Raw genomic sequence first — 25,023 nt, 5'->3', positions numbered from 1 at the left:
CTTCCCTTTTAGAATTACTGATAGAACAGACTATTTAAGAGTCTCGTGCGAAAGATTTACAATCTATTTTCTCCAAAGCCTGCTCCAAAACCTTGGTCTCCACAACACGTTATCTTAACCCAGTCATTCCTAAGTCTTTAGGCAATAACGTAACTCAACGTAACAGAAAATCTTTGAATCTACCTATGACCTGGAAGCTTGCATTGTCTTGCCTTTCCAGACCAAACAAATGTACCTCTTACATGTATTTGATTGATGTCTCATGTCTCCCTAAAATGTATAAAACTAAGCTGTATGCCGACCGCCCTGGCCACATGTTCTCAGGATCTCCTTAGGGTTATGTCATGGGCCATTGGTCGCTCATATTTGGCTCAGAATAAATCTCTTCAAATATTTTACAGAGTTTTATTCTTTTTGTCAACAATAATAAACAATTTTATGTTAGGCATTGGGCTTATACATTTTACATGAGTTATCTTAATCGTTAAAACAACTCTCTGGTGTAAGTATTATTATTGTGGCTGTTTTCTCAGTGAAGACACTAAAGCTTAGAAAGGCTACTATAGCAAGTTGAGAATCTAGAATTTCAGAAACAAGCATAGGAAAACTTGTCATTTGAGCTAGTTCTCAATAGCTCCACAACTAGCTGTCGAGTAGCTAACATCTCCCACGTACTGCACTACGTGGTGGAGTAGTACTGCACTCGGGAGGTGGAGGTTGCACTAGGCCCTGAGGGTCCCATGAGGTCCAAAACAGGCTTGCTGCCCTCATGGAGCCTGGAACTCTTGCAGGGGAAATGTTCACATCTAGTGAGTGAATCACACCTAGGGTTCAGGTCCTGGTCTCTTGTCTAATTTTGGGGTTCCTTCTCTTATACTATGCAGACGGGGAGCTACAGGTTACCTCCCAGCCTGCTGGACTGCAGTCTGAGGCCCTTTTAACTATATAAAACCCAGATGGAATCTTATCAGAGCAAACGGCCTCATTTTCTGGACTGGTGTTTTTGTTTTTGTTTGTTTTAGCTATAGAACTCTGCTTTCACACAGAAACTTCCATATAAGCCCAACTTTGAAACGGAAAAAAAAGCTGACACTTTCTGGTTGAAGGTGAGGGGTGGAGAGCCTTTGTCACCCCCAGTGCTACTGGGAATCACCTCACAGACTTGAGAAAATCCACTTTGAAACGACTGGTCTGGACCAGCATCATGGTCCCGGCGGCTTAGGAGCGGAAATCAGACATTGAGGCATTTTCATGGGAGGAAATGAATGGCCCAGCTATGGAAAGCTCTGTTTCTTTTGATTCTCTTTCTCCCTTTTGTTGCATCCTCTTTCACATTATTATTGCTCGTTAGCATCTTTACATGAAGGTTGACAGGGAAGGTCAGTGCTATTAGCTAGGAAAAAGCCTTCTTGGTAGGAGGCTGGAAATGGAAATAAGATATGGGGATTTTCCACTGATTTAGTTTATCCAAGCTCTGCCAATCCCATAACCACAGAGAATCAGGAACTGTGGTAAGGTCAAGGGCATTTTTTTCCCATTCGGTCATTTTTTTGGTTCTGTTATTTTCCATATTTGTTTTAGTGTTTTTAGCTTTCAATCCCCTTATCCTGAGATCCAGCCACCAGGAAACCACACAGCTAATTTACATATATATATGTAAATTCTTCCATGATCCTTGCCCATGTCCCATGAGGCACAGACATAACAACTGGTGAGAGGGGATCTGCAAATAATGGTGTCATTTCCAAACTTCTTTTCTTGGTCAGGGATTTAGGTCCACTCTAAGCACAGGTTATCCATCGCCATAAATGTGGAATTCACCTGCCTCCTCTACATGCACAGGAGTGCTGAGAAATTTTTTCCTTTTACATTTATATCACCTTTTTCTGTTTATTCCATAAAGATTTCTTGATTATTTGCCAGATGCCAGGCATGGTACAAGCAGCTGGGGATACAAGGATAAAAGCCAATCCCACTTTTAATGGGCTCACAGCCTTGTGGGAGACAGCCATGTAAATACATAATCAAATATGATATGATACATGTTAGGATAGAGAAGGTCCCACAGTGCTACAGGAATCGGAGGAGAAAATGCTCGACTTTGGTAGGGCTGGAGAGTGCGATCAGTGAAGAATTCACAGAGGAAAGGGCTTTTGAACTGAGTTTGGAAGGCTGGGTGGGAGATGGACAGGGGCACAAGGATATTGCTGGCAGAAGGAACATGTGTAAAAGGTGGGGAGGCAACAACACCATGGTGAGTTTGGGAACTGCTTGTGATACCGTGAGTAGAGCACAGGTGTGTTACTGGGGTTATGAGCATAGGTATGTGGGGGGAGTGAAGATGAGGAGCCTGGAGGGGCTGTCTGGGTCAGCACATGAAGGGCCCTAAAGCACCCTAGCAGGAAAGCAGAGGGTGGATTGGAGGTCAAGGGTTCAGTAGCATTAGTGGAAATATAATTGGAGAAACAGATTAAGATTAACCCTGGGCCAGATGCGGTGGCTCACACCTGTAATCCCAGCACTTTGGGAGGCCGAGGTGGGCAGATCACCGAAGTCAGGAGTTCGAGACTAGCTTGCCAACATGGTGAAACCCCGTCTCTACTGAAAATGCAAAATTAGTTGGGCATGGTGGTGCACGCCTGTAATCCCAGCTACTTGGGAGGCTGAGGCAGGAGAATCGCTTGAACGCGGGAGGTGGAGGTTGCAGTGAGCCGAGATTATGCCATTGCACTCCAGCCTGGGCAACAAGTGTGAAACTCCATCTCACAAAAGATTAATCCTGTAGACAGCCTGCATTTGGATTTGGTTAAAGGCACTTTCACTATCTTCCTGGCTGGGCCAAGTAGAAGGCTGAAATTTCAATGGCCTCTGACAGTAAGTTGGAAAAAGTTGAGTATGTTCTGGAATATCTTCTCTGGCCTGGTAGCTTTGATTATTGTTACAGCCCATGCATGGCCAGGAAGGAATTATACAAATGTATTTCCCAGTGGCTACTGCTAAGCCAAAGAAAAAAGAGCATTTGCATTTCTTAAAGAATTGATTGAGATTCTAAAGTCACAGTGGAAAGTTAATAGCAAAAATGCACAGCTTGAAAGGTTTTGCTTTTTGGCATGAGAGCGCAGGCCAGATTGACTCTAACTGTGACGCAGTGTTAAATTAAGTGTTTATAATGAGACATTTATGGCCACTCAAGAGGCCTTTTCGATCCTTTGGGGAGGAGAAGTGAAGGTGGATATGTCTGTAATTCTAGCAGAAATTAATATGTAAATAGACCTCCATGTGCACTTAGAAATAGTTAAACAGGAGGAAGCACCTTGTGAGGTGAAACTTGTCACACAAATTAAAACTGAATACAGTTAAATTAAAACAATACAGGAAACTTGGGGCGATATATGTAGGTTAAGTGTTTTCACTCCAAAGCATTTGTTATGGGATATCAGCATTAATACCAATAAGAAAATTAGACAATACTTTCAAGTTGATTAATTCACATTTGATTTAGATTTAATAAGCATCATGTTAAGTCAATACCAAATGTTTCCTTAAAGCAATAGAACTGCGGCTCAGCTGCCATGAAATAGATGGATCTATATTTCTTACCAAGTCATTAAACTCCATCAGTAGCTTGATACTAAATTTGCAATGACAGGCCAGGCCAGTTTGACAGGAATTGGCTAAAACTAGACTCAAGCGTGTTATGAATAACAGGGCTGAACTATAGTAGCCAAATTTCCTTCTTCTCACTTCCTACCTCCACACACAGGCTCCACTACTGCTGTGATTTCTGGACATGTCTCTCTTAGGCGGGGCTGTGTCTCTGAGAATAGGAGTTGGTGTCTAATATTTATGCTTTTTTTTGTTTTTGGCATTGATGTTGAACTATTTAGGGATCTGTGGGATACTTCATAGTGTCAGTTCAGTTATTTCCAACTACTCTTTGGCTGCCTTTAGGATGGCCCAAGCTTAAAAAAAAAAAAAAAAGGAAAGGCATTGTTTAGGAAAACTGTTAAAAAATTTTTTTTAAATTGACAAATAAACATTGTGTGTATTTATGGTGTATAGTGTGATGTTTTGATGTATGTATACATTTTAGAATGGCTGAATCAAGCTTTTTAACCTATGCATTACCTCACGTATCATTTTGGTGTGTGTGGTGAGGACATTTAAAAATCTGATCTGAGCAGTTTTCAAGTATACAATGTATTGTTATTAACTGTAGTCACTATAATGTACAGTAGCTCTCTTGAGCTTATTCCTTCCATCCAGCTGAAATTTTGTATCCTTTGGCCCACATCTCCCTATCTCCCTCCCAGCCCCAGCCTAGAGTAACCACTATTTTACTCTGCTTCTATGAATTTAACTTTCTTACATTCCACATATAAGCGACCTCATGTGGTATTTGTCTTTCTGTGCCTGGCTTATTTCATTTAACATAATGTCTTATAGATTTATCCATGTTGTCTCAAATGACAGGATTTCCTTCTTTTTTAAGGCTGAATAATATTCTATTGTGTATATGTACCACATTTTCTCTATCCATTCATCTGTTGTTGGACACATGGGTTGATTCCATATCTTAGCTATTGTGAATAATGCTGTAATGAACATAAGCGTGTGGATATCTCTTCAACATACCAATTTCATATCCGTGGGATCTATACCCAGTAGTGATATTGCTGGATCATATGGTGTTCCATTTTTAATATTTTGAGGAAACTCCATACTGTTTTTCATAATGGTTGTACTAATTTACATTCCCACCAACAGTGTACAAGGATTTCCTTTTCTCCACATCCTTGCTAACACTTATACCTTACATCTTTTTGATAATAGCTTTTCTAGTAGGTGTAAGGTGATACCTTGTGGTTTTAATTTGCATTTCCCTAAGGATGATGTTGAGCATTTTTTTCATATACCTATTTGCCATTTGTGTGTCTTCTTTTGAGAAAAGTCTCTTCAGATCTTTTGCCCATTTTTAATCAGATTGTTTTTTGCTATTGAGTATATGAGTTCTTTATATTTTTTGGATATTAACCCCTTAATTTCTTTTTCAGTTGGCTCATATTTCAGCTAGCTCATATAGTTGTATGGTTTGCAAATTTATTTTCCCATTCCTCGGTTGCCTCTTCACTCTGTTGATTGTTTTCCTTTGCTGTTTAGAAGCTTTTTAGTTTGGTGTAATCTATTTGTTAATTTTTGCTTTTGTTGCCTGTGCTTTTGGGGTCATAGCCAAAAAATCTTTGCCCATACAATGTCAAGAAGGCTTTTCCCACATTTTCTTCCAGTAGTTTTATAGTTTCAGGTCTTGTGTTTCTGTCTGTAATCTATTTTGAGTTACTTTTTGTATATGAGGTGAGATATGGGTCCAATTTCATTCTTCTGCATGTGGATATCCAGTTTTCATAGCACCATTTATTGAAAAGACTGTTCTTTACTCATTGTATATTCTTGGCATGTTGATCAAAAATCAGTTGACGATAAATGCATGGATTTATTTTTGGGTCTTTATTCTATTCCATTGGTCTATGTGTCTGTTTTTTATGCCAGTACCATACTGTATTGATTACTATAGCTTTGTAGTATATTTTGAAATCAGGTAGTATAATGCCCTCAGCTTTGTTCTTTTTGCTCAAGATTGCTTTGGTTATTTAAGGTCATTTGTAGTTCCATATGAATTTAAGGACTATCTTTTCTATTTCTGTGAAAAATGTCATCGGAATTTTGATAGAGATTGCATTGAATCTGTAGTTTTGGGGAGTATGGACATTATAACAATATTGATTCTTCTGATGGATGAACAAAACAATATTTTCATTAATTTGTGTCTTTAATTTCTTTCATCGATGTTTTATAGTTTTCAGTGTACAGGTTTTTTACTTCCTTGGTTAAATTTATTCTGAAGTATTTTTTTTTGGTAGCTGTCATAAATGCAATTGTTTTGATTTCCTTTTCAGCTAGCTCATTATTGATGTATAGAAATGCTACTGATTTTTTTATGTGGATTTTATATCCTGCAACTTTACTCAATTCATTTATTAGTCTTAACAAATTTTTGGTGAGATTTTTAGGGTTTTTCTGTGTATAAGATCATGTTATCTGCAGAGACAATTTAACTTCTTCCTTTTTGATCTGGATGACATTTATTTCTTTCTCCTGCCTAATTGCTCTGGTTAGGAACTTCCAGTTCTATGTGAATACAAGTGTTGAGAATGGGCATCCTTGTTTTGCTCTTTTTTTTTTTTTTTTTCTTTTCAGAGTCGGGATGTCACTATGTTGCCCAGGCTGGTCTTGTACTCCTGGGCTCAAGCAATCCTCCTGCTTCAGCATCCTGAGTAGCTGGGATTACTGGCACATGCCACCATGCCCAGCTCCCTTGTCTTAATCTTAGAGGAAAAGCTTTCAGTCTTTCACCATTGAGTATAATGTTAGCTATGAGTTTGTCTCATATGGCTTTTATTGGATTGAGGTACATTTTTTCTATACATAATTTCTTGAGCGTTTTTATCATGAAAGAATGTTGAATTTTTTGAATGCCTTTTCTGCATTTATTGAGATGATCACATGATTTTTGTCCTTTTTTTAATGTGATGTGTTACATTTTATTGATTTGCATCCATTGAAGCATCCTTGTACCCCAGGATTAAATCCCCTACAGGGATGTCCAAAGGTGTCCCTGTCATGGGTTCTTAGCTTCTGCTTCTGGCAGGGCTGGTAAAGCCCCTTTCTCATTTCTCTTTTCTGCTTATCACTAGAGACAGAAACTGAAAACCATGGTTTCAGGCTGCTAAAAACCTAACATGAAACAAAACAGAAGAACAACAACAACAAAATAAGGTGAGTTGGACAAGCTTGCATGGTGAATGATTCTTTAATGCAGTGCTGAATTTGGTTTTTTAGTATTTTGTTGAGGATTTTTGCATCTATGTTCATATGGGATGTTGGCCTGTGATTTTATTTTCTTGTACAGTCCTTGTCTGGGTGTTATCAGGGTAATACTGGCCTCAAAAAATGAGTTTGGAAGTAGTCCCTCCTCCTCAATTTTTTGGAAGAATTTGAGAAGAATTAGCATTAGTTCTCTAAATGTTTGGTAGAATTCAACAGCGAAGCCTGATGGTCCTGGGCTTTTCTTCTATGGGAGATTTTAAATTATTGATTCAATTTCCTTACTTGTTATTGGTCTGTTCAGATTTTCTATTTCTAGGAATTCATTCATTTCTCTAGGTTTTCCAATTTGTTGGTGTATAATTTTTCTTAGTAGTTTCTTATGATCCTCAGTATTTCTGTGGCATCAGTTATATCTCTTATTTCATTTCTGATTTTATTTGTCTCCTCTATTTTTCTTAATCTATCTGAATTTATTATTTTATTATTTCAAAAAACCAACTCTTAATTATGTTTATATTTTTTATTTTTCTATTGCTTTTCTACTCTCTATTTCATTTATTTCTGTTCTGATCTTTTTTTTTTTTTGAGCTAGGGTCTCACTGTCACCCAGGCTGGAGTGCAATGGTATGATCATGGCTCACTGCAGCCTCGAACTCCTGGGCTCAACTGATCCTTCAACTTCAGCCTCCCAAGTAGTGGGACTGTAAGTGCATGCTACCAAGCCTGGCTGATTTATTTTTATTTTGTAGAGACAGGGTGTCCTTATGTTGCCCAGGCCGGTCTCATACTTCTGGGCTCAAGCAATCGTGCCTCAACATTCCAAAGTGTTGGGATTATAGGCGTGAGCCCTACGCTGGCCTGCTCTAATCTTTATTATGTCCTTCCTTTTACTAACATTGGGCTTAGTTTGTTTTTCTCTTTCTAGTTCTTTGAGGTGTAACATTAGTTGGTTATTTTGGATCTTTCTTTTTGATGTAGGCATTTATTAATACAAACTTTTCTCTTAGAACTGCTCTTGCTGCATTCCTTTGTATTTCCATTTTATCTTATTTATTTATTTTTTTGAGATGGAGTTTCACTCTTGTGGCCTAGGCTGGAGTGCAATGGCGTGATCTCGGCTCACTGCAACCCCTACTTCCCAGGTTCAAGCGATTCTTCTGCCTCAGCCTCCTAAGTAGCTGGGATAACAGGCATGCGCCACAATGCCCAGCTAATGTTGTGTTTTTAGTAGAGATGGGGATTCACCATGTTGGTCAGGCTGGTCTTGAACTCCTGACCTCAGGTCATCCGTCCACCTCAGCCTCCCAAAGTGCCAGGATCACAGGCCTGAGCCACTGTGCCTGGCCCTTTGTGTTTCCATTTTAATTTGTCTCAAGATATTTTAACATTTCCCTTGAATTTCCTCTTTGAGCTATTGTAGCTATTACTATTTTAAACAGTTTTGTCTTTTAACCATCATACTAAAGATATAAGTGATTTACACACCATCATTATAGTATTAGCACATTCTGAATTTGAGTGTGTACATACTTTTACAAGTGAGTTTCATACTTTTCTATGTTTTTATGTTACTAAGGATCATGTTATTAAGGATAATGTTGTTATAATGTTGACATATTTGTAAATTTTCTGAAATCTCTCCTATTATTGGTTTCTAGTTTTATACCATTGTGATTGGTAGAGATGCTTGATGTGATTTCAGTCTTCTCAAATGTGTTAAGACTGATCTCTGTCTAACATATGATCTATCCTGGAGACTATCCTGGATGTGCTTGAGAAGAATGTGTATTCTGCTGCTGTTGGATAGAATGTTCTATACATGTCTATTAGGTACATTTAGTCTAATACATAAAGTCCAATGTTTCCTCGTTGATTTCCTATCTGGATTATCTGTCCATTGCTGAAAGTGGGGTATTGCATTCCCCTACTATTATTGTATTGCAGTATCTCTCTCTTCAGATCTATTAATAGTGTTTTATGCATTTAGGTGCTCTGATATTGGATGCATATATATTTATAACTGTTATATCCTCTTGATAAATCGATCCCTTTGTCATTATATAATGACCTTCTTTGTCTTGTTTTACATATTCTGGCTTACATCTATTTGATTTGATACAAGTATAGGTACCCCTGCTCTTTTTGTTTTCTGTTCCCATGGAATATCTTTTCCCATCCTTTCACTATCAATCTATATGTGTCTTTAAAGGTGATGTGATTCTCTTGTAGGTAACAAATAGTTGTGTTTTTTTTTTTTCTTTATCCATTCATCTAATCCTTGTCTTTAATTGGAGAATTTAATCCATTTATAGTCAAGATAATTATTCATAGGTAAGGACTTACTACTGACATTTTGTTCATTGTTTTCTGGTTGTTTGGTAGATCATTTCTTTTTTTCTCTCTTGTTGTTTCTTTCTTCCTGTCTTCCTCCTCTGTTATTAGAGGATTTTTCTCTACTAGTGTGTTTTGATTCCTTATTTTTTACATTTTACATTTTATGCACTTACTATAGGTTTTTACTTTGTGGTTAGCCTTATAAGGCTAACATAAAACATCTTGTAGTTATAACAAGCTATTTTAAGCTGATAACACTTAACTTTGATTGCATAAAATAACTCTACACTTTTACTCTTGTCACCCACACTTTATGTTTTTGTTGTCACAATGTACATCTTTTTATATTGTATATTCCTTAACAAATTATTGTAGCTATTACTATTTTTTAACAGTTTTGTCTTTTAACCTGTCATACTAACAATATAAGTGATTTACCCACCATCATTACAGTATTAACATATTCTGAATTTGAGTGTGTACATATTTTTACAAGTGAGTTGCATACTTTTCTATGTTTTTTGTTACTAATTAGCATCTTTTTTTATTTTGAATAATTCCCTGTAGCATTTCCTGTAGATAGTTCTGGTGGTAATGAACTCCCTGAGCTTTTGCTTGTCTGGGACAATCTTTACCTTTCCTTCATTTCTGAAAGACAGATTTGGTGGATAAAGTATTCTTGGTTTACTTATTCTTAATTTTTTTTTCTTCAGCACTTTGAATATATCATCCCACTCTCTCCTGGCTTGTAACATTTCTGCTGAGAATTCTGCTGCTAGCCTTATTGGGACTCCCTTATATGTGATTTGCTTCTTTTCTCTTGCTGCTTTCAGAGTTTCCCCTTTGTCTTTCATTTTTACAGTTTGGTTATAATATGTCTTGGTGTAGTCTTATTGAATCTGATTGGAGACCTTTGACCTCCTTATCCCTGGCTATTTCTATCTCCTCCCAGATTTGGAAAGTTTTTTGCTATTATTTCTTTAAGTATACTTTATACTTTTTTCCTCTCTTCTCCTTCTTTTAACACCTGTAGCTTGAATATTCACTCTTTAATGCTGTCCCCTAAATCCTGTATGCTTTCTTCATTCCTTTTCATTTTTTTCTTTTCCTGGCTCTGATTGTGTATTTTCAAATAACTTATTTTTGAGTTCACAGATTGTTTCTTCTGCTTGATCAATTCTGCTGTTGACACTATCACATTCATTTTTTTCATGTTCTTCATTGTATTTTTCAGCTCCAGAATTTCTATTTAATTTTAAAAATAATGTTAATCTTTTTGCCAAATTTCTATTTTTGGTCATTTATTGTTTTCCTGCTTTCACTGACTTATTACTCTGTATTTTCTTGAAGTTCACTGAGCTTCCTTAAAACAATTTTTTTTGAATTCTTTGTCATGCAGTTTGTATATCTCCATTTATTTGAGGCTTGCTACTGGGAAATTATTGTGTTCTTTTGGTTGTGTTATGTCTTTTTGACTTGTCATGTTTCTTCTTGCCTTATGTTGATGTCTGCCTGTTTGGTGGAGCAGTAACCTATTGCAGACTTTAAAGGCTAATTTTGCTATGAAAATACTTTCTTCTGGTGGAAGGGTGTGAGGGTGCTTGCTGAGTGGGGTGCAGTGGTTCTGGCACCAATGAGGATGCAGTCGTGTAGTCATTGTGCAGCTCTGTCAGCTAAGGTTAGTGTTGACAATGATTGCAGAGATCCTCAGCACTCAATGTTGTGGATGTCTGCGGTGGTGGTGAAGATTGCTGGGGTCTATGATCGTAATGATTACTAAGATTCTCCTGATCTATTTTTTTTTCCACTGTGGAAGTTTTGGCTAAAGGGATTCCTGTTGGCACTGGGTCTGGTTTGCAGGCCCACCTGAAGTGGCAGTGGCACCAGTGTCTTAAGTGTGTTGCCTGTGGAGTAGTTACAGGGCTGAGGCCTGAAGCACGGGTATGTGTGAAGAGACTACAGTTCTGGGATGTGGGGCAGCTATGGCACTGGTCCTTAGGGTTCAAGCACTCCTGCTGCCACATTGCCAACAGCATGTAAGGTGTGGGTACTTGTGAAGTAGCCAGGGAACCAGAATAGGAACACAGGTTGAGACGGAGTTACAGTGGCTCCAAGGTTAGCATGGAGCCTACCTTTCTGTAGTGGCTGAGCTGAAGTCCAGAGTTTGAGTGTATGCAGTAAGAGCTTGGCTCCAGGGTCCAGAGTGTGAACTAGCTCACCATGGTGATGGCTGTGGTGTCTGAGATGTGGGTGAGAGGAGTGTCGCCACAGAGACCAAGTCTGCAGTGTGGGCACATGCAGTTCAGTCCCAGCTTGGGGGCCAGGACAAGTGCAGGGTTGGGAAAGATGGTGGCTCTGTAGCAGGACGAGCCACAGACAAAACTCCTCAGACACCGAGTTAAAGAAGGAAGGGGTTTATTCGGCCGGGGGCATCAGCGAGACTCCTGTCTCAAGAGCCGAGCTCCCCAAGTGAGCAATTCCTGTCCCTTTTAAGAACTCACAACTCTAAGGCGGTGCGCGTGAGAGGGTCGTGATCGATTGAGCAAGCAGAGGGTACGTGACTGGGGGCTGCATGCACTGGTGATTAGATCGGAACAAAACAGGATAGGGATTTTCACAGTGCTTTTCTATACAATGTCTGTAATCTATAGATAACATAACCGATTAGGTCAGGGGTTGATCTTTAACTACCAGGCCCAGGGTGTGGCGCCGGGCTGTCTGCTTGTGGATTTCATTTCTGCCTTTTAGTTTTCACTTTTTCTTTCTTTGGAGGCAGAAATTGGGCATAAGACAATATGAGGGGTGGTCTCCTCCCTTAGCTCCTTTCCTAAAGCAGCTCAACAGTGGCTGCTGCTTAGGGCAGGAGGGGTGCGCAGCTGTGTCTTCCTCTCTGGGGTTCCCTGGAGGAAATGGCTGTTGGTTACCTCAATGGCAAATGATGCTAGTGTCCTCTGTAGAGCAGGTCACTGGGGACCACAGTAATTCCCCCCATGTGGCTGATAGCCTCAGCCTTTCTTCTTTGTTCCTAGCAGTCTCCTGAATTCTCAGGTATGCCAGCTTCAGCAGGGATCTTTTCTGTGTGAATATTCTTTTTGTTTTTGCTCCACTGTCTTCCTGTAGATGGAACACAGTGGAACAAAACCAAAAAGAATATTCACACATAAAAGATCTTTAATGGGCCTTTGAGCTCTTTCAGGGCTATTCTGGTTGTGGATAGCTATCTATATATTTTGTCTTGTGTCAAGGGGATAAAGGCTAGTATCATCCACTCTGCCATCTGAATTATGTCCTAAGGGAAGCTGTTCAAACTGGGTGGACAAATGATGTGTATAGTCATAACACTGCTGCCCCTTTTGGACAAAACAAGATAAATAGACTGTCTTCCAGAATACTCTGAAGAACAACAAAATAAATTCCCACTTTGCATGACCACATAGCACTAATATTCTGGGACCTCAGTAAGTGTCAACTCTTTTCAAAATTGTGTAGATCCTGGCTATGGTCCTGTCCTACTGTTTTCTTTCAGAAGCAGCTTACTTCTCCCTGGAGAGCTCTCAAGAATTTATAGCATTCTTATTTATCCCCAATTGCTCTCTCTCTGCCTCCAATGCAGGACCCAAGAGCCACTGGGAAATGAGCACTGTTTGTATTTTTGTGTTTTGTTTTGGTTTTGGTTTTGACCTTTCAGAAATAAAATCAGACATATTGAGGGTGTACCAATGTCCTTCCATCCTAGGTTGCTGACCAGAACTCAACAGTGAGGGAATTTACCTCCTGCTTCATGCATGCAACATCAAAATAGTAAGTCAAAAGCACATGGAATGAGATTTGATGAGTGTAAATCTCATTGTGATAAGCTCAAGTGGAGCCACTCAGGGATGTGCTTGCCATATCTTTAGAGAACAGTTCTGTTTGAGTGGTGCTGCACTAAGAAAGCTCTTCTGCAGGTACACTGGCATCTTTGCAGTTCCTAGGAACACTCCTTCCCCTAGGGAGTAAGAGCATGTCTAACTCATTCTATTCTGTCAAGTGTTGGCTTTACTGTTACCTTCCCAGTGAGGCCTTTTCTGACAACGTACTATAAAATTGCACTCTCCCAGCCCTTTAACCTACTGGACTTTTTCTTTTTCCACAGTACTGCTACCCTCTAAAAAACCATATAATTTCTATATTATATGTTTTCTTTATTATATGTCTCTCTTTCTTCCCTAACCCCTGCTAAGATGTATGTTCCATGACAGCATCTCTGTCTTTTCCTTTTTTGTTGTTTTTTACTGATGCATCTCGAGTGGTTAAGACAAACTGGTACATTATGGGTATTCAAATGTTTATGTTGATAAACTATACACCTGTGAAGTCACCACATCAATTAAGATATAGAACATTTACTTTGTCCCAGAAATTTCCTTTAAGTGTCTTTCCAGTCAATCCAGCGGCAATCAATACCACATAAATACCACAGTGTTTTGATTATTGTAGCTTTATAGGAAATCTTAAAACCAAGTAGTGCAAATCCTCCAACATCATTCTTCCTTTTTATTGTTGTATTGAGTATTTTCTGTCATTCTGTCATTCATATTCTCATATTCAAATCAAATTGTTGATTTCTACAAAAAAACATTTTTGGATTTTAATTGGGATTGCAGTAAATCTATACATCAATTCGGGGAGAATTGACATCTTAACAATGTCAAGTCTTCTGATCCATGAACATGGTATATATTTTCATTGATTTGGGAAGTCTTTAATACCTCTCAGCAATATTTTGTAGTTTCAACATGAAGTCTTAGACAACCTTTGTCAAATTTATTCATAATTATTTTAAATTTTTGATGCTATTGTAAATTTTTTTGCTTAATTTTTCAATTGTTTGTTGCAGCTATATGAAAGTACAGTTAATTTATGTACATTGACCTAAATTTACTTATTCTAGTATATATGTACATCTATATTTTTGAGACAGCGTTTCACTCTGTTGCCCAGGCTGGAGTGCAGTGGCGTGCTCATGGCTCACTGCAACCTAGAGTTCCTGCACTTGTGCGATCCTCCCACCTCTGCCTCCTGACAGCTGGGACTACAGGCACACAGCACCACACTGGGCTAATTTTAAAAATTTTTTGTAGGGACAGGGTCTTGCTATGTTGTCTAGGCTGGTCTTAGACTTCTAAGTTCAAGCAATCCTCCCACCTCAGCCTCCCAAAGTGTTGGGATTACAGGCATGAACCACTGTGCCTGGCATCTAGTATTTTTGGTAGTTTCCTTAGGATTTTCTACATACACAATTATATCATCTGTGAACAAAGATAGTTTTATTTCTTCCTTTCCAATTTTTGCCTTTTTATTTCATTGTACTTATTGTAATGTTGAACAGAATTGGCAAGAATGGATATTCTTGCTTTGTTCTGAGCTTGTTAGCTCTTCTAATTTCCTCAAATGTGTGTACCTTACAAGACCTTTCTTACTTTCTATTCATATCTTTAGGTTGGTGCTTTCAGCTATTGCTTTTGATGACTAATATTCCTATGTCAGACATAATAGAAATTCTACTGCATAATTCTGGAGCTTTAACTAGTGCTATTGCATAATGTGGAATTTTGAAACTGAGCTCAAATGTTTATGTATTTATTTTCTGATTTCTCAAATGTAGTTACAGTTCCTGTGTCTATGCCCCCTCATACTTCTTCACATATCCCTGCTTACAGCAGTGAAAATATTGCCTTGTAATTATCTGTCTGCCTCTCCCATTAGACCATGTCTTTGAAGGGTTGTGCCTTACTCATCTTTGTATTCTCAGAACAGTGCTTAGCGCCCTTCCCCCAAATGCCCATTGAATGAATATATGAAGAAACGGAAGGCAATGTTTAATAGATGGACATATTTTTACTTTTCTGTTCACATTGGAAATGTGTTCCTTCCATTTCTGATGACACCTGTGTGTGTGTGTGTGTGTGTGTGTGTGTGTGTGTGTGTGTGTGTGTCCCTGGGGATTATTTCCTTTCATATATTTTCCTCTTACATTTACATTGGTGACTATGTTGCAAATTACTGAGTTGATATGGAAGAAAGAGTTTTGTATAGTGTAGATTTCTTATAAGTGGTGATAAGGTAAAGGGCCCAAATATGCTGTCTACTTGAAATAATAGAGATGGTATTTACCCAAGACTGCTTCATTTTCCCACTGTTATGGGATGTTATGTGATTTGTAAGTTTATTTTAAAATAAAATGCACTGAAGAACAGCCTCCAGAATTAGGATATAAATTTGTATTTGGATTCTAAGTGACTGGATAGCTTGTGAAAGAAGAACTCTTTATACATATTCTGTACTTCATCTAGTATTCACTGCTGAGGTGGTGATGATCCAGGGTTCTGGATGAATTGTTCAGGCAACTTTGCATGAAAATATCTGTTCATCTCAAATAACATTCTGTTTACTTTTGTCTTTATGTATGAAAGAACTGAGAACATGTTCTCTTAAAGATTTCAAATGAAATTATTTCCTATCTTAAACATTATTTTTTCTTCCTCTGGAGAAGGACCTGGTCTTTAATAATGGAAATTTCACATTATGCCATTTTCTTTTCTCAGATTTAAAGGCTAGAGCTGAGAGAATGACCTTAGGAAAGCCAGATTTAGTGTGGTCAAATGTACCATATTTCTGTAGGGAGGAATAAATGTTTTCCTCTACTCTTATAGTTCTTAGTTAGGATGGACCCATGTAGCCAAAGACAGATTAACAAGAGAGAAACAAACAGAAGTATATTAACCTGTATACCTCATATATACATAGGAGATACCCAGAGAAAGGATTCTTTTAAATCTCAAAGAGTTGGCTTTGAATTCATATTTAAATACCATGTCTGCTGAAACAAAGAAAGGAGGGTTTAGGGAAGGCCAGTTATAGGTAGATGACCAGGAAAAGCAAGACAATAGACAAGAGTAAGTCTTGTTATGCAGATTTAAGTGGATGCCTTCTCCATTGATAAGAGTCTCTATTGATTTAGAATAATACTTCCCTTCCTGGTACAGAGAGGGAGACACCCTTACAAATGGAGAATTCCTTCAGAGATGTAAATTTCCGATACAAAAGCATAACTTCTACTCTTATTTTCAGAGCTTCTTCTGTGTCTGCGATTTCTCAAAATAATCAGCTCAAAATAATCCTTATGCCAACAAGGCATATTTTGGAATGGCATATTCTGGTCTCCTATAGTCATATTTTGAGGTGGCATATTCTGGTCTCCTATATTTACATCCCCACTACACCCCCACAAAAATGTATAAAATATTGTGACTATTTAAGACTTTGGAGTCAATCTTATGGTAAAAAAAATCTTGCTTAATTTGCATCTCCATAACTATTAGTGAAGTTGAGCATCTTTCATACAGTTATTGGACACTGTATTTTATCTTTAAATACTGGTTCATATCACTTATTCTTATTTTTATGGGCTATTTTTTCTTGTGTAACCACCCAACAGGTTCTCTTTACCTGCTGCTTAGACTAAGCTGATTTATCAAGACAGAGGAATTGCAATAGAGAAAGGGTTTAATTCATGCAAAGTTGGCTGTACAGGAGACTGGACTTTTATTATTATTCAAATCAGTCTCCCTGACAACTTGAGGATCAGGTTTTTTGAGGATAATTTGGTGGGTGGGGGGGCCAGTGAGTTGGGAGTGCTGATTGATTAGGTCAGAGATGAAATCATAGGGAGCCAAAGCTGTCCTCTTGCACTGAGTCAGTTCCTGGGTAGGGGCCACAAGACCTCAAATCCACAAGACCATAAGACGAGTCAGTTTATTGATTGGGTGGTGCCAACTGATCCATTAACTGCAGGGTCTGCAAAATATCTCAAGCACTGATCTTAGGTTTTACAATAGTGATGTTATATCTGGGAGCAATTCGGGGAGGGTCAGAATCTTGCAGCCTCTAGCTGCATGATTCCTAATCCATAATTTATAATCTTGTGGCTAATTTGTTAATCCTACAAGGGCAGTCTAGTCCCCAGACAGGAAAGTGGTTTGTTTCGGGAAAGGGCTGTTATAGTCTTTGTTTCAAAGTTAAACCATAAACTAAGTTCCTCCCAAAGTTAGTTTGGCCTATGCCCAGGAATGACCAAGGACAGCTTGGAGGTTAGAAGCAGGATAGAGTTTGTTAGGTCAGATATCTTTCACTGTAATAATTTTCTCAGTTATAATTTTGCAACAGCAGATTGCAGTAGAAGCTCTTTGCATATTTTGGGTATTAATCCTTTGTTTGTTATGTAGGTTGCAGGTTTTTTTCTCCCAAACTCTTATTTTTAACTTAGTTCATTAAAGTCTTTTGTCATACATAATTAAACTCAGGGTTTTTTTCATTATATTAATTGATCTTTTCCTTGATGCTATTTTAGTTTTGTACCCTGTTTAGACACTGCCCCATCACAAGAGTGTAAAAGTTTATTCCATGTTTTCTTCAAACTTTAAAAAAAATGTTTTGCTTTAAATATTAGCTCTTACTCCAGAATTTAGTTTTCTGTGGTGTAAGGTAGGAATAAAAATGTAATGTCTTTGCTCAAATGAATCCTGAATAATTCTCAAATTGTTTTTGAATATTCCATTGTGTTTCCCTGCCTCTGATATAAAATGTCACATCTAATATAAACTAAATTCCAGGGTATGTGCTTACAAACATGCATTTGTGGGTGTGGTGGAGGGGGTAGGAGAGGAACACAGAGAGACAGAAAGAGACACACAGTACTATTTCTGGATTTTTAATTATTTTCTATTGTTTAATTTGTCTATTTTTGAACCTATTGAGGGAGAGCAGAATAAGCCCCCCAAAATATGAAGGATTGTTGAGCTGAAGGCAATTCAGAAGAAGCAAATGCAAGAAAGCTCTCTGCCAGCCTCCTATTTGCCTCCCATAGGTCCAGGATATAGATTTACAAAGACAGAAGGTATCCTGCCCACCTTTCTACCAGGGAGAGCAAAGGTCATCCACAAAAAACAACTTTGAATTCTTATTGACCTAGAGCTTGTACCAGAGCTTTACCAACTAGCATTTATCTGCCATTTATTTGCATTTCCACAAGTTGCTGCTCTTAGAGATTCAAAGTCCTTCTTTCTCATATTGCTTCTCTTGAAATTCACTTGTTTTTGTTGAAGATGCTATATAAGCTATGTAAACCCAAAATAAAATTATAATCCCCTCAAAATTGATCGAGTGGACCCTCCTCTGGCCCAAGGGGACCCAACGACCCCTGAAAATCTAGGTCAGATCGTGGCAGGAAGGGGGTTTGGACATGCCTAGTGATCCTTTCCTCCCTTTGGAGTCCAGGCACACAGCTGATCAGCATTAACATTAAAATAGAGATCTTAAGACTGACAGAAGAGACTCTTTGTAGCCATAAGATACCAAATTCCAACCTGGCTCCAGTATAGCATCACATGACAGATAGCAGTGGTCTGAAAGAAATACATATGTTTTAAATGGCCCTGCAAAGATATCTCTTGCTGGGGTAATTTTACATTTTGTAGAGAATCTCTTCCTTTATTAGGTCTTGCCAGAGAGTCTGGTACCTTTGATAAGAGACAGTCACATCTATTCTCTTTGAAGTGGGCTACAGGCTACCTGGAGGCTTCATATACATGACAAAAGCCCTGCCTCCCTCAACCCCCAACCCCTTACCTTAGCTTAAGCTGATTTCAACTCTTTAGGCAGAGCTTAACTCTTTCAACCAATTGCCAATCAGAAAATCTTGAAATTCACCTATGGCCCATAAGCCCCACCACCCCACTTTGAGTTGTCTGACCTTTCCAGATGAAACCAATGTATACATCACATGTATTGATTGATGTCCTATGCCTCCCTAAAACATAAAACCAAGCTGTAACCCAACTGCCTCGGGCATATGTTCTCAGGACCTCCTGAGGCTGTCATGGGTCATGATTCTTAATCGTGGCAAAATAAACTTCTAAACTGATTGAGACCTGTCTCAGATACTGTTTGGTTTACAGCTGAAATTTAAAGCCACCTTTTTGAGAACTACTCATTCCCTGCGTGTCTCTCATGTATATATGAAATATACATGTTAATAAACCTTTGCTTGTTTTTCTCTTGTGAATCTGCCTTTTGCTACAGAAGTTCTTTCCCACTATAAACCCATGGGGGTTATTATTTCCTTTCATTATACTTTACTATATTACTTCAATACTAATAGCCTTACAGTATATTTTAAAATCTTATAGGGAAAGATTTTGTTCTTTTGTTTCAAAAACCTATTGTCTCTCTCTCTCTCTCTCTCTATATATATATATGTATAGTATATATGTATATATATTCTATTGGAATTTGTGTTGAGATTAATTAAATTTATAGATGATTTGGGGGATAATGGACAACTTTTAAAAATGGCTTTCTTTCTTATTTTTTCCAATCTTCTATTATGTTGCTCCATCAATTTTTATAGGTCTTAAGAATTTCTTATTAGATATTTTACTAGGTTTTCTGTTCATTTATTGGTATTAGTTTGAATTGTATCCTTTTTTATGACCTTTTAAAATAGATTATTGCTAATATATATAAATATCCCCTTAAAATTGATTATTGCTTATATATTTATTATTTATATATTATTTATAATATAATATAAAATATTACTATATAAAATTGATTATTACTAATATATAAATATATTATTGCTTATATATGTTGCTTATATATTTATATATTCATATTTATATTATATGTATTTATATATAAGCAATAATGAATTTTAGAAAGATATTTTTGATTTTTTATATTCTGCAAATTTACTGCTCTTTTATTAATTCTAATAGTTTTCAGTTGATTCTGTTGGATTATACAATATTATTTTGTACAAATAACGACAATTTGCTCTCACACTTCTTTTTGTCATCTCAATGCATTCAATGAGAATGTCAGTAAATACTGCCTAGCCACCTGCACCCTTGTTTTCTGAATTTAATAAAAGTTATTTCAACAAAAACTTTATGTATATTTGTTCTATGTTTCTGGTAGATATATTTTACCTTAAGAAAGTTTTATTCCTGTTCATAATGTGTTTTTTTATTCAGAGAGGTTTAAAATTTCATGAAATATTTTTTAGAGTAATTGGAGATCATCACAATTTTTTGCACATAATCTGTTAATCTTGTGAATTACAGCTACTGAGATTCTAATAATCCTCACAATTCTGAAATAAAGTCTGTTTTTTCATAATGCATATTTAATAACAATAGTGCTGACTCCATTTTCTAATATTTCACATAGAAATGTTTATAGTTATTCTCATTAATGAGAATGACCTATAGTTGTGTGTGTGTGTGTGTGTATGTGTGTTTCTGCTATTTTTACCCAAATATGGTGTTAGAGTTAGGATAGGATTCTATGAAAGGGCCGTATGTGCAAAGCAACACCCAAATGCCAAAGGAACCAAGAAACTGAAGGGGGCAAACAAATCCAGTTTATTGGTAAAGGGGACTTTATTGAGGGAACTTACAAACAGATCATGGTCTTGGGCAGCCATAAGACAGGTAGATCTCCACGCTGTTCCCCCAAGACCCAGGATTTATATGCCACAGGGAAAGGGCATGCATGCTCCAGCCACACTATTTAAGGTGACTGTCCAGAACAGGTATGAATTCTGTATGCATCATAGCCTGTAACTTGTGTGATAACATTGAGGTCGACATGTTCTTACACTAAGGACAGTAAATAAAGAAGAAATCAGGAGGCATTCATGAGAATGAGTATCGGGGGAACCCACCCCCAATATTTCAATGTAGATGCTATTTTCCATAAGTGTCGAAAATAAAGAGAAAGAATACAAAGAGAGGAATTTTACAGCTGGGCGACGGGGGGTGACATCACATATCAGTAGGACTGTGATGCCCACCTGAGCCTCAAACCAGCAAGTTTTTTTATTAAGGGATTCAAAAGGGGAGGGGGTGTAAGAACAGGGAGTAGATCACATGCTTCAAAGGGCAAAAAGGAGAACTACTGATAAGGGTCTATGTTCCTTGGTGCAGGTATTATCCTGATAAACATCTTAAACAACAGAAAAGAGGATTTGAGAGCAGAGAAACTGTCTGACCACAAATTTACCAGGGCTGGGTTTTTCCCCACCCTAGTAAGCCTGAAGATACTGCAGGAGACCAGGGCGTATTTCAGTCCTTATCTCAACCGCATAGGACAGACATTCCCAGAGCAGCCGTTTATAGACCTCCCCCAAGGAATGCATTCTTTCCCCAGGGTATTAATATTATTATTCCTTGCTAGGAAAAGAATTTACTGATATCTTCCCTACTTGCAAGTCCACTTATAGGCTCTCTGCAAGAAGAAAAATATGACTCTTTCTGCCCGACCCCGCAGGCAGTCAGACCTTATGGTTGTCTTCCCTTGTTCCCTAAAAATCGCTGTTATTCTGTTCTTTTTCAAGGTACACTGATTTCATATTGTTCAAACACACATGTTTTACAATCAGTTTGTACAATTAACACAATTATCACAGTGGTCCTCAGGTGATATACATCCTCAGCTTACGAAGATAACAGGATTAAGAGATTAAAATAAGACAGGCATAAGAAATTATAAAAGTATCATTTGGGAACTGATAAATGTCCATATTAAAATGAAATCTTCACAATTTATGTTTCTCTGCCACGGCTCCAGCCGGTCCTTCCATTCGGTGTCCCTGACTTCCCACAACATCTCTCCATTTCTTTTTATATAACTGTGCCATGGCAATGAAGGCTTGTTCATTCTCTCGGTTTTGATGCAGGTTTCTTTGACTGGTCCAGCACACTAAAAACAAGCCAATTAAACAGAAAAACGTATTCCAAAATGTACTACAGTGGAGCACCGAATAGACTTAATCCAAGTCGTGGGGTTTAGTCCAGAAAGACTTTCTGCCACCTGATCTAATGCCTCAGCTCCAGGCACAATGGATAAATGAGCTTGAGAGGCTTCAAAAATATCAGGGGAACCCACCCCCAATATTTCAATGTAGCTTCTTTCTATTTTCCATAAGTGTCAGCCAGCTGAGAAATAAAGAGAAAGAGTACAAAGAGAGGAATTTCACAGCTGGGCGACCGGGGGTGACATCACATATCGGTAGGACCATGATGCCCACCTGAGCCTCAAACCAGCAAGTTTTTTATTAAGGGTTTCAAAAAGAGAGGGGGTGTAAGAACAGGGAGTAGATCACATGCTTCAAAGGGCAAAAAGGAGAACTACTGATAAGGGTCTATGTTCAGCAGTGCACGTATTGTCTTGATAAACATCTTCAACAACAGAAAACAGGGTTCAAGAGCAGAGAACCTGTCTGACCACAAATTTACCAGGGCTGGGTTTTTCCCCACCCTAGTAAGCCTGAGGGTACTGCAGGAGACCAGGGTGTATCTCAGTCCTTATCTGTTCTTTTTCAAGGTGCACTGATTTCATATCGTTCAAACACACATTTTACAATCAACTTGTACAGTTAACACAATTATCACAGTGGTCCTGAGGTGATGTACATCCTCAGCTTACGAAGATAACAGGATTAAGAGATTAAAATAAGACAGGCATAAGAAATTATAAAAGTATTATTTGGGAACTGATAAGTATCCATATTAAAATGAAATCTTCACAATTTATTTTCCTCTGCCATGGCTCCAGCCGGTCGCTCCATTCAGGGTTCCTGACTTGCCACAACATCTCTACGTTTCTTTTTATATAACAGTGCCATGGCGATGAAGGCTTGTACATTCTCTTGGTTTTGAGGCAGGATTCTTTGACTGGTCTGGCACACTAAAAACAAGCCGATTAAACAGAGAAACATGATTCCAAAATTTCCTACAGTGCAGCACCCAATAGACTTAATCCAAGTCGTGGGGTTTAGTCCAGAAAGAGTTTCTGCCACCTGATCTAACGCCTCAGCTCCAGGCACAATGGATAAATGAGCTTAAGAGGCTTCAAAAATATCGGGAGAACCCGCCCCCAATATTTCAATGTTGGTTCTTTCTGTTTTCCATAAGTGTCAGCCAGCTGAGAAATAAAGAGAAAGAGTACAAAGAGAGGAATTTTACAGCTGGGCCGCCAGGGGTGACATCACATATCAGTAGGACAGTGATGCCTACCTGAGCCTCAAATCAGCAAGTTTTTTATTAAGGGTTTCAAAAAGGGAGGGGGTGCAAAAACAGGGAGTAGATCACATGCTTCAAAGGGAAAAAGGAGAACTACTGATAAGGATCTGTGTTCAGCAGTGCATGTATTGTCTTGATAAACAACTTAAACAACAGAAAACAGGGTTCGAGAGCAGAGAACTGGTCTGACCACAAATTTACCAGGGCTGGGTTTTTCCCCACCCTAGTAAGCCTGAGGGTACTGCAGGAGACCAGGGTGTATCTCAGTCCTTATCTGTTCTTTTTCAAGGTGCACTGATTTCATATCGTTCAAACACACGTTCTACAATCAACTTGTACAGTTAACACAATTATCACAGTGGTCCTGAGGTGAGGTACATCCTCAGCTTACGAAGATAACAGGATTGAGAGATTAAAGTAAGACAGGCCTAAGAAATTATGAAAGTATTATTTGGGAACTGATAAATGTCCATATTAAAATGAAATCATCACAATTTATGTTCCTCTGCCGCGGATCCAGCCGGTCCCTCCATTCGGGGTCCCTGACTTCTCACAACAACTGGGGCTAATCAGAAGTCAACCTGGCAGATTAGTATCCAAGATGAAATCAATTTTATCTACACAGATAGATTAGCAGAACCAGTTGAGAAGTTTCCTATTTGTGCTCTGAAAGGATGTGAATATCATACATTCGATCTGTTTCTCAAGCAATTTATAACACTCACTCCAAACTTAGTGGCCTAAATGCCTTCATATTAGGATTAGATAGATCTGTGGCTGCTTTTTCATTTTTCGCCACAGTTATTTATCTATGCAATTTTCTGTTATAACAGCAGAAAACAGACTAAGACTTTCTTGAGTTAATTTTAACAATTATCTTTTCCTTAAAAATTATTCATTTCATTTAAATTTTCTAATTTATTTCTATAAAATTTTACATAGCATTTTCTTATAATTCTAACATCTTCTTGTGTATCTCTATTTGCTATTACATTCTGTTTTTTATTTTCATATTTAAATTTATGTCTTTTCTCTTTTTTGTCATTGGAACTGCCAAAGGTTTATCTGTTTCATTTGTTTTCTGAAAGAACTAGCTTTTGATTTTCTTGATCTTGTCTACTCTTCAGTGTGTTCTATTCCATTAATTTTTTCCTACATTGTGCTTCTTTTTTCCTTCATTCTCCTTCTGTTGATACTTATTTTGTTATTCTCTTTCTGGCTCGTTAATTTCATGCTTAGTTGATTTATTTTATAATATATAGGAGTTCAGAAAAATATGCATTCTTTTTTGTGGTGCACACAGTGACTTTTTATCTCATATATAAATCTGTTAATTGTGTTTTTCAAATGCTGTTCAGTCTGCATGGTTTGCCAACCTCTGAGAGAGACAGATTTAGTTCTCCAACTAGTATTGATATAATCTGAAAGTGTTTCCCAAAAAGCATGTGTTGGAACTTAGGCCCCAATGCAACAGTGTGGGAGGTGGGACCTAAGAGGAGGTGTTTAGGTCATGAGGGCTCCATCATTATGAATAGATTAATGCTGATGCTAAAAGCACTTGGGGCTGTGTGAGTTCCATCTCTTTTTTTTCTTCTTTTTATTTTAGGTTCAAAGGGTATGTATGTAGGTTTGTTACATGGGTAAATTGTGTGTCTCAGGGGTTTGGTTTACAGGT

General features: G+C 37.9%; 1 long non-coding RNA gene across 5 annotated transcripts in view, besides 1 other annotated feature; it reads left to right on the top strand.

Moving 5' to 3' along the window:
* LOC102724687 (uncharacterized) overlaps positions 1-25,023 on the top strand; it is a 233,269-nt gene that overhangs the window by 161,280 nt on the left and 46,966 nt on the right. For 3 of the 5 annotated variants that reach the window (XR_929012.3, XR_428359.4, XR_001745952.2), the window contains exons 2-3: positions 6,753-6,834; positions 12,956-13,020. This is a non-coding gene — a long non-coding RNA (uncharacterized LOC102724687). The remainder of the gene's footprint in view (positions 1-6,752; positions 6,835-12,955; positions 13,021-25,023) is intronic. The other 2 variants (XR_929013.3, XR_007060949.1) reach the window with 1 other exon arrangement.
* Positions 18,408-19,247: an enhancer, noted in NCBI's record as "OCT4-NANOG hESC enhancer chr8:67164075-67164914 (GRCh37/hg19 assembly coordinates)". NCBI's record gives its function as "activates a minimal SCP1, AML or CMV promoter by ChIP-STARR-seq in primed H9 embryonic stem cells {active_cell/tissue: H9 hESC(primed)}" and the evidence as "EXISTENCE:reporter gene assay evidence [ECO:0000049][PMID:30033119]".

This window comes from Homo sapiens, chromosome 8 (genome assembly GCF_000001405.40).
Source record: "Homo sapiens chromosome 8, GRCh38.p14 Primary Assembly".
Lineage (NCBI taxonomy): Eukaryota > Metazoa > Chordata > Mammalia > Primates > Hominidae > Homo > Homo sapiens.
Note: the sequence above shows the minus strand (reverse complement) of the source record. Positions and strands in the feature narration are given on the sequence as shown.